The sequence below is a fragment of the Homo sapiens genome, chromosome 6 (genome assembly GCF_000001405.40).
Source record: "Homo sapiens chromosome 6, GRCh38.p14 Primary Assembly".
Taxonomy (NCBI): Eukaryota; Metazoa; Chordata; class Mammalia; order Primates; family Hominidae; genus Homo; species Homo sapiens.
The window spans coordinates 24,687,978-24,700,505 of record NC_000006.12 but is presented as its reverse complement, the minus strand read 5'-3'; the positions used below and the strand labels follow the sequence as shown (position 1 = coordinate 24,700,505).

The following is a 12,528-nucleotide window of genomic DNA, read 5'->3' as shown; positions in this document are numbered from 1 at the left end:
CGAGATCGCGCCACTGGACTCCAGCCTGGGCAACAGAGCAAGATTCCATCTCACAAAAAAAAAAAAAAAAAAAAAAAAAAGGTGGATCTTATTGCTGGAAAGAACAGGCTTGTCTTTAATTCACATACCTCAATGTAAAGAAATGAAAAATAGTATGTTTAGTAGTAGTTTGGCCAGTTTTTATTATTTCCCTAAATTTTGTCTTAGAAATCAAGAATTTTGGCTAACAGCCATTAACTTAAACTGAGGGAAGATAAGGAACCCTTTGTGCTACAGATGAGTAAACATTAAGTCCGGGGAATTTGGAGATTGACATTTTGTCAGTAATACTCTAAAATTTCCCCTTTTGTTGTTTTGGAACCTCGCTTGTTTTTAACCTAAGTCACAGTCTAACAGGCATCCTCAGTCTGTATAATATAGGACTTGATGTGCAGGGGTGGAGTAAATTTGGTACCATGTCAAGTAAATCAAAGAGTGAATCATGAAGTGTTAACTGACTGAAACATTATTCATTTACTTTTGAAATATCTCTAACTTTTGAAAGACCATGTCCTAGTTTTTGTTGAAGTGAATCAGTTTTTGAAGCGTAGGCAGCTCTTGATGGCCAATGCTTTTGGCAACACATATTTGAAAGGCCAAAACTATGTTTGACTTACTGAAAATTCCTTAGGGTTCTAAAGGCAAAAGTACCTTAGTAGATCATGAAATGCAGTGCTAGGTTTGAAGATCTCTCTGCTCTTAATAGAGACTTTTAGGGAAAATCAAGTCATCTACTGATCTCACCTCTTACCACATGAAATAAGGACTGCTGAATATGCACACCAGTAACATAAGCAGAGCCTTTCTTTTCTGTACATCTTAATTTCAAAAAGAGCATTTGGCTGCATCTTGTAATTTGCTTATTGTACCCTCAATTTAAGTTATTCCCATGAAGAGGGACTGAATGTTTCTTAAGTAAACTTGATAAAATATTTAGATTCCTTAAAAGCCTACATTGGCTGGGCGCGGTGGCTCACGCCTGTAATCCCAGCACTTTGGGAGGCCAAGGCGGGCAGATCACAAGGTGAGGAGATCGAGACCAGCCTGGCTAACACGGTGAAACCCCATCTCTACTAAAAATACAAACAAATTAGTCGGGCATGGTGGCAGGCGCCTGTAGTCCCAGCTACTCGGGAGGCTGAGGCAGGAGAATGGTGTGAACCCGGGAGGCGGAGCTTGCAGTGAGCCGAGACTGCACCACTGCACTCCAGCCTGGGCCACAAAGCGAGACTCCGTCTCAAAAAAAAAAAAAAAAAAAGCCTACATTATTTCCATTACCCTCATATCTACTCACAATGGCTCTCTCAACCTGACCTCTCAGTTAGTTACATTTTTGTTGCTTAGGTGGAAAAAGCAGTTGTCTTGAAACTAAATCCCTGTGCCCAGCTCTTTCTTTATTGAATGGGGCTGCAGTAGTACCAGTTTATGTTGGAATTGAGTTTCTTACATTTTGGAAGTTTGACCCTGAGGGGCACTGTTCCCTGATCATGTAGTTTAACTCACAGAACATGTCTGTGTAGTCACAGGGAGAGATCCAGGATTGCTGCCCATTCTTAAAACTCAACACTTTGGGAGGCTGAGGTGGGTGGACACTGGAGGTCAGGAGTTCAAGACCAGCCTGGCCAACATGGTGAAACCCCGTCTTTACTAAAAACACAAAAATTAGCCCAGCATGGTGGCGCACACCTGTAATCCCAGCTACTAGGGAGGCTGAGGCAGGAGAATTACTTGAGCCCCAGAGGCGGAGGCTGAAGTGAGCCAGATTGTGCCGCTGCACTCCAGCCTGGGTGATGGGGAGACTCCGTGTCCAAAAAAAAAAAAAAACCCCAGCAATGGTGTTCAGTTTGTTAGAGTAAGATTATAATGTGTATATGAACTCTAACTTTACTTTGAATTGTATGTACTCAATACAATCCTCATAGTGTTATAAGTGGTATTTTTAAAATTAAATAATATTTATTTTTTGTAGAGATGGGGGTCTTGAACTCCAGGCTTCAAGCAATCCTCTTGCCTCGGCCTCCCAAAGTGCTGGGATTATAGGCGTGAGCCACTGCGTCTGGCCCTGAATGGCACTTTTAAGGACTGTATGAAACAGTTATGAGCCATCAGTTTGTGATTTTTCCCCCTGCATCAGTATACACATTAAAAGCTGAATGTTGCTCTTTTGAATGTTTGGGATCATTCCCTTTTTACTATTGATACACACTGTACTTGCAAATTAACTGCTCTAGTTCTAGATTTTAAGGCTGGAATATTTTAGGACAAAATCTATAGGTGCAGTTAAGGAGATAAGCAGCTAATTGAATCTCATGCGTTACTAATAATATAAATGTGTTTAGTCTCAGTTGTTTAGACAGTTATCACACAGAAGGGATTTGGAATACAGTTTGGATACATACGTTATGTTCATATCGACACTGACTCCGGGTGCTCCCCTTTCCGTGCATAGCAGAGCCATTGTTGATATGTTATCTACTAACGTGGCTGTCAAACCGCCGTGGAGAGTGCCTATTGCATTGGTATGCTCTTCTTCTACTTTCATTTCACAAATCACTTTCCCAGGAGCAGCAGAGACAAGAGTAATCTAAGTGTAAAAAAAAGAATCCTGAACATTAATTCTGTAGAATTAGAAAAGCCAAAAAAGCCCATGAAGAACAATGGATTGAACTGAATCTTCTGAAAAAAGTTGACTCAGAAATTCAAGTAAATTGCCAATCTCTGATAGAAATTAACCCTTATGCAAGTTATTTTTAAAGAAAAAGGAGTGTTTAGTGAAAAAATAGTAGTTTTTGCTGATCTTCACTCCTCTGCAGAAATTAAACATTCAGTCTGAGCTTTTCAGTCATATGTATGACGCCTGGCATTTTTTAATGTCTCATTGGAACTTCGACGCCAACAAAGCCACCCAGCTGAGATCTGTTAACTCATTATAGGTTTGATTTGTTGTTTCCTAGTTTTGTACAAGCAGAATAATAATAACATTTTAAGTCACTTAATGAACAGTTCAATTTAAAAGACAAATTCAGTCATTGAGTTACTAGCATTTATCTCATTGGAACTTTGACGCCAACAAAGCCACCCAGCTGAGATCTGTTAACTCATTATAGGTTTAATTTGTTGTTTCCTAGTTTTGTACAAGCAGAATAATAACATTTTAAGTCACTTAATGAACAGTTCAACTTAAAAGACAAATTCAGTCATTGAGTTACTAGCATTTAAAAAAAACTTTTATACTATAAACCCATGTTAGTATAAAGTGTAAATGTAACAATAAAATCCAGCAAAGTAAGTTACTGCTTTTAAGGTTTTGGCCCATTTATAGTAAGTATAAGGAAAAAGTATTACATGAAAGATAAACATATGCAACAATGCATTTAAAATTTTATGATTTTTGGCTGGGCACGGTGGCTCACGCCTGTAATCCCAGCATTTTGGGAGGCTGAGGCAGGTGGATCACGAGATCAGGAGTTTGAGACCAGCCTTACCAACATGGTGAAACCCAGTCTCTACTAAAAATACAAAAATTAGCCGGGTGTGGTGGCGTGCCCTTGTAATCTCAGCTACTCAGGAGGCTGAGGCAGGAGAATCGCTTGAACCCGGGAGGTGGAGGTTGCAGTGAGCTGAGATCATGCCATTACACTCCAGCCTGGATGACAGAGGGAGACTCAGTCTCAAAAAAAAAAAGAATTTATGATTTTTATATCAAACATCTTTAAAAAGGCAACTTATGGAAAGGTAAGTTTTCTTATATATTTGTGTTTAAATTACTAGGAAAAACCATCAGGGTATAATATCATGGTATAAGTTAGAGCTGAGCTGTGAGTGGAATGTGCTGCATCCAAAACAGTAATTTCCACCCTCACTAGAGGTGTTCAGGAAGAATATGGATGAGTATTTGGTGTGTCTGTTGTGTTTGGGAGTAGGGGGATGTCTCAAGCATTAAATGGTTGGTTATATTCTAGATAAGTACCATTTATTAGGCACTTTGATATGCTAGGCACTGTGCCAAGCACTTTACATATACTATATAGTAAGGAAGAGACAACATCCATTTTGCAGAGAACTTAAATTCAGAGTGATTTATTTTCAAGATCACCCAAGATGTGATGGAAACTGAGATGTAGATGTAGGTCTTTCCACCTTCACATCTCCCAATCACTAACTATATATGAGTAACCTCTAGGTATGACTCCCACCAGGAAGACATTTGAGAGTTTCACAAACCACCTATTTAGTGGTTTTATTGTTGAAGGCCCTGAAGGAAAACAGAACCACGCGATATAAAACATCCTAAACAATATTATGTCATGTTTTGCAAAACAGGTAAATCAATGTCAAAAATAAATTTTAGAACAGGATTTTTGTTGTTGGGTTTTTTGTTTTTTGTTTTTTTGTTTGTTTTTTGTTTTGAGATGAAGTCCTTTTCTGTTGCTGAGGCTGGAGTGCAGTGGCTTGATCTCGGCTCACTGCAACCTCTGCCCTCCAGGTTCAAGCAATCCTCCCGCCTCAGCCTCCCAAGTAGCTGGGATTACAGGCACATGCCACCACACCCAGCTAATTTTTGTATTTTTAGGAGAGATGAGGTTTCACCATGCTGGTCTCGAACTCCTGACCTCAGGTGATCCACCCACCTTGGCCTCCCAAAGTGCTGGGATTAGAGTCGTGAGCCACCGCGCCTGGCCTATGATCGTCTGTTTATAGCAATAAATGATCTAGCCACAAGATGTCCTCATAAACTAAATAATACACACCGAGCAGGAATAAGGTGTAAACTTAACCTCATTCACACATTTATGTGATTCTTTATAGCAGGCATTGGCAATGTAAAAAATGAATGAAGTTTAATCCCTGCTCTTAGCGGGTTCAGTGTCTAAAGGAAGAGACAAGTACAAAAACTGCAGAGGAAGAAACTGTTGTAGACAGAATAAATACAGGTTTCTTGGAGTAAAGATATCTAACTTTTAAAAATGTATATTTCCAGGGAAAAGACATTAGGAAAGGCTTCCTGGAGAACGACATCTGAGTCTTGAAGAACAGGCAGGAGTTATCCAGGTGAAGATAAGGGAAAAAGCCAGGCAGTTGAAGAAATAGAACTAAATACGAGCGGCTTGTAGACAGCAAAGGTAGTTTTAATGTGTTGTTTTTGTTTTTGTTTTTTGAGACAGAGTCTCGCTCTGTCACCCAGGCTGGAGTGCAGTGGTGTAATCTCGGCTCACTGCGACCTCTGCATCCCAGGTTCAAGTGATTCTCCTGCCTCAGCCTCCTGAGTAGATGGGACTACAGGTGCGTGCCACCATGCCTGGCTAATTTTTGTATTTTTAGTAGAGATGGGGTTTTGCCATGTTAGCCAGGTTGGTCTTGAACTCTTGACCTCAGGTGATCCACCCACCTCGGCCTCCCAAAATGCTGGGATTACAGGCATGAGCCACCGCGCCTCAGTTTAAGTGTATTTTAAGGCACAGTTTGTTCAGTAAAGCTTAGTTCTTAAAGTTCCATTTGATTACCTAACTTTGGCTGGGATGACAAAATGTAAGACAAATGTCAGTTAGATTTTTCTAGTACAGAATACTGGTTTTGATTTTTCCCCCCAACTTGAAAGGCCAAAGGACATACTAATAAAATTGTTTTAAAATTTACATTGGAATAGAGAGAATTTTTTACTGGGCAGCCTGATATGGCAATATAAATGCCTTTATATGTTCTCAATTCTTGTCTCCTCAGGTCAAATAAGAGAATTAAACCAACGGAAGATGATGAAGGAATGTCCTGCCCACCCTCCCAGAGCTAATAAGTAGTCTTGCTGGGGAAGAGGCCAATGCAAAGCTAACTTCTTTCTGATGAGGAAGGGGAGTAGGGAGAGAACCTTGTGAAAAAAACATCTCAGCCTTGGTAAAGATGGGCTGTAGGGCACACACTTGTTTATTCAGTTATATCAACATAGCTAACTCCATGTTAGAGACCATGCTGAGCAATTTGACATGTGCTGTCTCAGTGCTGCCAATGTTTGAAGTGAATACTATTGTCTCCATTTTACAGATGAGAAACTGTCGAAAAGTTTAACTAGGATGTCTCAGGTTTAACCATTATGCAAAACAGCCTACCCTCAAATATCACCTGGACTGCTACAGACAACTGGGTTCTGATTCCTTAGGTGTCTTGGTGAAGATGGTATGGAGGCTTTTATGATGTCAAGGGGTCAAAAATTTACCTGCCATGGCCTAACAATACAGAGAACTGTCCAGATGTGTTCAGTCCCAGGATCCTGCAGGTTGGACAATTGCAGTAGGTTGGCAAGAACTTTTATGGCTCAGCACTATTTGCCACAATGGGCTCCTCAGTATATCATAACAATTCTTACATGTACACACACATATACAATAATCTGTCCCTTTTATATATGGCCTTATATCGTGCTGTCTCTTCCTTGCACTTCATGCATTCATATGAGTTTATGCAACTTCGTCTGTGTAATCCCAGCACTTTGGGAGGCCGAGGCAGGCAGATCACTTGAGGTCAGTAGTTCAAGACCAGCCTGGCCAACATGGTGAAACCCTGTATCTACTAAAAATACAAAAATCAGCCAAGCATGATGGGGCACACGTATAATCCCAACTACTTGGGAGGCTGAGGCAGGAGAATCCCTTGAGCCTGGGAGGTGGAAGTGGAGGTTAGCCGAGTTCGCACCACTGCACTCCAGCCTAGGCGACAGAGTGAGACTCCGTCTCAAAAAAAAAAAAAAAGACTCAGGTTGCCATAGCCCCTCACCCTCCCTCTCCCATCTGAGATACAATTCATCACAAAGAGACACTCCACATGACACAGAGTCTCTCCTTTCCTCACTTTTTCAGCAAAGATAGATAGGGAGAAGGGCTGCCTAATAACAGCAGTGAAGATGCTGTTATTCATCACTGAGATGGTCCTTTATGAAGCTGAGAACCAAGAATTCTCTTTAAGCCTTGGCATCTCAGATCATTCTGGTCTTTTTTTAAAAGGGTTGCATTCTGCTGAGCAGTGGGATAAACAAGCCACTGCCATCACTGTAACTGCTGCTGGCTGCTATGCAGCTCACCACCACTGCCTCCACTGCCTCTGCTAAACAGATAAAGGAATGTATGTCTCTGGCTCAGTAAGGGTGTCTGTAATGGGCCTCAAGCACAGGAGTGTGACATATGGTATGAGAAAATCTGTGTACATAAACACGTGAGCCACCCCCAAAAGAAGACTGTCTACAGAAGCACAAAGAAAAACAGACAATCTTAATGGATGACAATTTTGTATGTGTATATTTGTGAATAAGGCTGTTTTCAAGCAATTTTCCCTGACCATGGATGTTGCTAACTTTGTGTGTGACACTGCAGATGACAGGAGGTGTGTCTAAGGACAGTGTATGAATGCACCTTCATATAAGCAGGAAAGGAGGTAAAAAGACAGGATGTGGCAGTGTGATGGGGTAGCAACAGCAACAAACACAGATGACATTTATGTTCAAGGGGCTCTAGAAAGGTAGATGCTATAAAAGTACCATGGTTCAACCATATTGCTGTTATCAGTCCAGCATTTCTGCTTTATAATGTATGTTTCAGTAGCTTCATTACACAGGTGGCTTCCGCTTAATGGTTGAGAGTACTGGCTCTGGAAGCAGACTTAGGCAAGACCCTGAACTGAGGTTTCCCCATTGATAGAGATAATGTACTGTACTGCCCTTATAGGGTTTTGTAAAAATTAAGATTAAAATTCAAATTAGGACAAGGCCTGGTATATCACAGGTGATCAAAACATTTTAATTTTGGGAGACTGAGGTGGGAGGATTGCTTGAGCCCAGGAGTTTGAGACCAGCCTGGGCAACACAGCAAGACCCCAACTCTAGAAAAATTTTTTAAAATTAGCCAGGCATGGTGGCATGTGCCTGCAGTCCCAGCTCCGAGGGAAGCTGGGGTGGGGAGGATCGCTTGAGCCCAAGAGGTCAAGGTTACAGTAAGCTGTGATCGTGCCACTGCACTACAGCTTGGCTGACAGAGTGAGACCCTGTCCCCAAAACAACACCACTTTAATTTGCATCCTTATTATAAAAACTATTATCAAACAGAAACTTTGGTTTGTATAGTTTGGCATGAATTTTCTTAAAATTATTTCTATTGCCGAGGTCAACTATGACCTAACTACAAAACTCAAAGGACCCTTGGCAGCCTCTCTTTCCCTTAAGTGACCTCTCAGCATTTGGTGACGTCGTGAACTTTTCCTAGCCTTCCCTTAACTCCCATGACACCACCTCCTCCTGGTTTTCCTCCTACTCTCCCAGCCACTCCCCAGTCTCCTTTGCTGGCTCTTAAGTCTTAGAGTTAACTAGTCGTTCAAAGACCAGACTTGATACTGGACTCACTCAGAAGGATATAGGATATATTTCTCTCCTGAGCTGTTGCAACTGACTTCCAATTTATCTCCCTATTTCTGCCCTTGCCACCATCCCCATGTTTAGTCTCAATAGTAGCTACAAGAATGCTCCTTTGAAAATATAGACTGCTTGACAGAAAACAACAGTGCAAAAGTGATATGCCTTCAGCATGATCCTTGACTTTATGTTCAGATGAAACTATTGTTAAGTTGAAAGTATCTCAATTTATGATGGGCTTATCCCAATGCGACCTCATCGTAAGTCAAAGAGCAGCTGTAGAAGTCAAATTATGTTACTCATCTGCTTAAAACCCTCTCTAATGGGGCCCTCAAACAATGGAAAGCACAGCAATGGAAAGTCTGAGGGCCTTTACACCTTCTGTTCCCCTTCCTGGAACACTCTCCTCCTTCAGTATTCATGACTTTCTCAGGTCTTTATTGAAACGTCACTGTTTCAGTGATATCTTTCCAGATAAGATTTAAAATTGAATTCTTAAAAAAAGAACTTACAGGAATACACATCTTGGGGCAGGGTGGGGGGTGGATTTAAGTTCTCCTGCACCAATACTCTCTATCTTCCACCTTTATTTTCCTTTATAGCAATTATCACCATCTAACATACTATATATTCTCTTTACCTATTTTGTTTAGTGTTTGATTTGCTCCACTAAAATAGAACTTCCATTGCGTGCAGGCGTTTTTGTCAGTTGTGTTCACTGATGTATCTCCAGTACCTAGACTAGGAATGTTTTAGTAGCTAAATACATTCCTAAAGGAATGTATGTCTCTGGCTCAGTAAGGGTGTAGGCACATAGTAGGCACTCAAATATTTGTTGAGTGAATGAATACACTGAAACCTGAAGGTCAACAAGGAGCATTCTATAACAATATGCCCAATATTTAGTGGCTTCAGCAACTAACTGAACAAACTATGGGGAGAATCTTCTATGTAAAAGGCATTCAACTGGGCACCTTCCACTAGGCACTAAAGTTCCCTTTGACAAATGGTTATTAAGCATATGGACTTGGCTCCCAAGGAAAAAGTATAGAGGGAAGACAAACAAATCAGCAGATATTTTCAATAATATACAGAAAGTTCTATAACAAAAGTTAGTCAAGGTGTAGAAGTAGATCAGAGGAAGACATTTGGGGCTGCCAGGGAAGCCTTCTCAGAGATAGCAGGTGTCACCTGCAAAGGACTTTGAAGGATAAGTGAAAATGGCAGGCAAATGGGGCAAGGGTAGAGGATCCAAAGGTGAGTACGATGTTGCCCTAATCCTCAGGGAGTGTACAAAACAGCAAGGGTTATAAGAGAAGGCCAAAAATAACAAGAGTTGGCAAACTAATGCCATGGGAAGCAAAACAAAGCCCTAGGGAAGAGCAAACAGGAATTAAATTAAATATTCCCTGAAGGTTAGTTAGCTAAGCTTAAGTAACACTCTTTTTGTTCACTGAGATAGTGGTGGTGGTGACAGATATGCTACAAAAGAATAAAAACAATTACTATCCCACTAAAACAAAGTTTAATGATTAAAAAAGAAATCACTATATTTTTCTTCCCCAAAGGCTGGTAAGTGGCAGATTTTATTGAATCATTCTGGAATGCCTATAAAGGTGGGTGCTCTGAAGGCCTCTATCACATGGATCTTATTGGCAAGACTTCTCTGATACACAGGTTCTCTACTGCCTTGAACCTGGGAAAAGGGGGCTGACAGGGAAGGAGCCTTTCTTATCCTGTCTTCCATAGATTGAGGATTTGGGAAATGCTTGTTCACACTTCCAGTTCTCCTTTAAAGAGGGAAAGCGCAAATTGTGTAGAATTTTTGCAATTGAGCTTCAGTTTGGAATCTAGTACGGTAGTTCCCAGGAGGGGATGATGCTCTGAAGGAATGCAAATCTGGCAAATCAAGGCCAGGGGAACAGCCCATTAGTCATACAAAACAAAACAGGCACAAAGAAGTTTAAATCATCTCTGTTCACTTTGTATGCTACAAAGTCCTGGAACTCCTAGGATGGCCAAGTAAAAACTACAGTTTTTTCTTAGTGCTGTTTTTAATTCAGCAGTAGCTCAGAGGATCTACATAGAAAGAACTAAATCTTGACTATGTTCCATGGCAGAGAAAATGTATTCATCATTTCTCTTGAAATTGGTCATCCATTCACTACTGCTAAAATTAATTAATTTTATAAAATACTTATATTTGCTGTGAGTTTATGCCACATTCCTTTCCTCTAAAATATGAATAACTCTTGAGTTCATTACTTCACTAATTGTATGCTGATTCCTTCAATCCTATCTCTGCGCCATCTAACTTACTGTTTTTATTAGATTTTTAATTATAAAAATAAAAACATTCATTTTACATATATAAAGCAGCATAGAAGTACAATTTCCTACCTACTACTCTTTCGGTGCTGAATATCATTCTATACCATTCCCTAGGCTTACTCATATATACACAGGGTATACAAAATTTTCTTAAAGGGTGTTTTTCTTGCCTTTTATTCAATTACAAAAATGGGATCATATTATATACATTACTTGGCAGCTTTCATTTTTCTCTTCCCAATGTATCACAGTCATTTCTCTAGCTCAATTTATTTATTTTTAATTTTTTTAGAGATGGGGTCTCTCTATTTTGCCCAGGCTGGACTCAAACTCCTGGGCTTAAGTGACCCAAAAGGAGAAGGCACGCCACCATGCGCAGCCTCCAGCCCAATGTATATAGATCTCTTTCAATAGCTGTGTGGTATTCCCTACTATGAATATACTACAATTTATCAAACTATTTCTTAAAATGTGTTATTTCTATATTTTTTTTACCATCACAAAGATGCTTTATTTGTATATGACAGACTGACAAAATTAGATAGCTGGGTATTAAGAGTATATATTTTAAAGTTTGTTTTTTTTTTGAGACGGAGTCTTTTTCTCGTTGCCCAGGCTGGAGTGCAGTGGCACAATCTCAGCTCACTGTAGCCTCCACCTCCTAGGTTCAAAGATGCATATTACCTTAATTTTTACACTCTGACAAGCAAAACATAGTATCTCATGGTTTTAATTTGCATTAGCCAGACTCACAGTGCTTTTAAGCATCCTTTAATGTTTATTGCCTTTTTTCTGTGAACAGCCTATTTATGTCTTTTGTGCCTACTTACCTATTACAGTCTGTCTCTACAGTTCTTTTTACCTATCAGATTTTAACACCAATTCATATGGTGAAATTCCAGACCGTTGTATTTTGACTTTTATTGTATCTCTCGCCATAAAAAGATGAGTTCAGATGAACAAAGTGCATAGTGCCTGACACATAGTGCTATGTAGATGTTTTTAAAAATAAACAATTGAAATTTCTAAGTTTTTAAGGTGCACATCATTTAATGACATGCTCCTGTTAGTAAGTCATTTTTAAGATGTGACTTATAGTAACACAGGACTCAGTCACATGCAGTTGCTGTGATTTCTTTTACTAATTCTCCCATGGTTGGACATTTAGGTTATTTCCCCTCACACAATTTTTTTTTTTTTTTTTTTTGAGACAGGGTCTCACTTTGTTGTCCAGGCTGGAGTGCAGTGGCATGATCATAGCTCACTGCAGCCTCGACCTCCTGGGCTCAAGGGTTCCTCTCACCTTAGCCTCCTGCACAGCTGGGGCCACAGGCACACACCACCACACCTGGTTAATTTTTTTATTTTTTTGTAGAGATGGGATCTCATTTTGTTGCCTAGGCTGGTCTCAAACTCCTGGGCTCAAGCTATCCTACTGCCTTCACCTCCTAAAGTGTTGGGATTACAGGCATGAGCCACCATGCCCAGCTATTTCCCACTTTTGATATCACAAATAATGCTGCAACAAATTTTTTTGTGCATAGATCTTTGAAAAAAAAATGCCTTATTTTGTCTTGTGTATTGCTTATACATAAGACAGTTTTAATGACCAATGAACTTGAAAATATCTATTTGTGTATCATGTTGATCAATTTTGAATATCACTGCCCTTTTGTAGTCAGTCCAAAATCTATAAGTTTTTCTATTAATAGTAAGTATAAGATCTATTCTTCTGGCTGGGTGCGGTGGCTCACACCTGTAATCCTAGC

General features: G+C 40.1%; 1 protein-coding gene and 1 long non-coding RNA gene across 3 annotated transcripts in view, besides 1 other annotated feature; one reads left to right on the top strand and one right to left on the bottom strand.

Moving 5' to 3' along the window:
* ACOT13 (acyl-CoA thioesterase 13) overlaps positions 1-12,528 on the bottom strand; it is a 37,970-nt gene that overhangs the window by 4,541 nt on the left and 20,901 nt on the right. For both annotated transcript variants that reach the window (NM_001160094.2, NM_018473.4), the window contains one exon: positions 2,439-2,623. In NM_001160094.2, the coding sequence (NP_001153566.1) occupies positions 2,439-2,623 (185 nt within the window). The remainder of the gene's footprint in view (positions 1-2,438; positions 2,624-12,528) is intronic.
* Positions 1,045-1,209: a silencer, noted in NCBI's record as "fragment chr6:24699525-24699689 (GRCh37/hg19 assembly coordinates)". NCBI's record gives its function as "represses an EF-1alpha promoter that drives an FKBP-Casp9 reporter gene in an ReSE screen in HepG2 liver carcinoma cells {active_cell/tissue: HepG2}" and the evidence as "EXISTENCE:reporter gene assay evidence [ECO:0000049][PMID:32094911]".
* Positions 4,735-10,799, top strand: LOC124901278 (uncharacterized). Its single transcript, XR_007059508.1, has 2 exons — positions 4,735-5,162; positions 5,761-10,799. It is a non-coding gene; the product is annotated as an uncharacterized LOC124901278 (long non-coding RNA).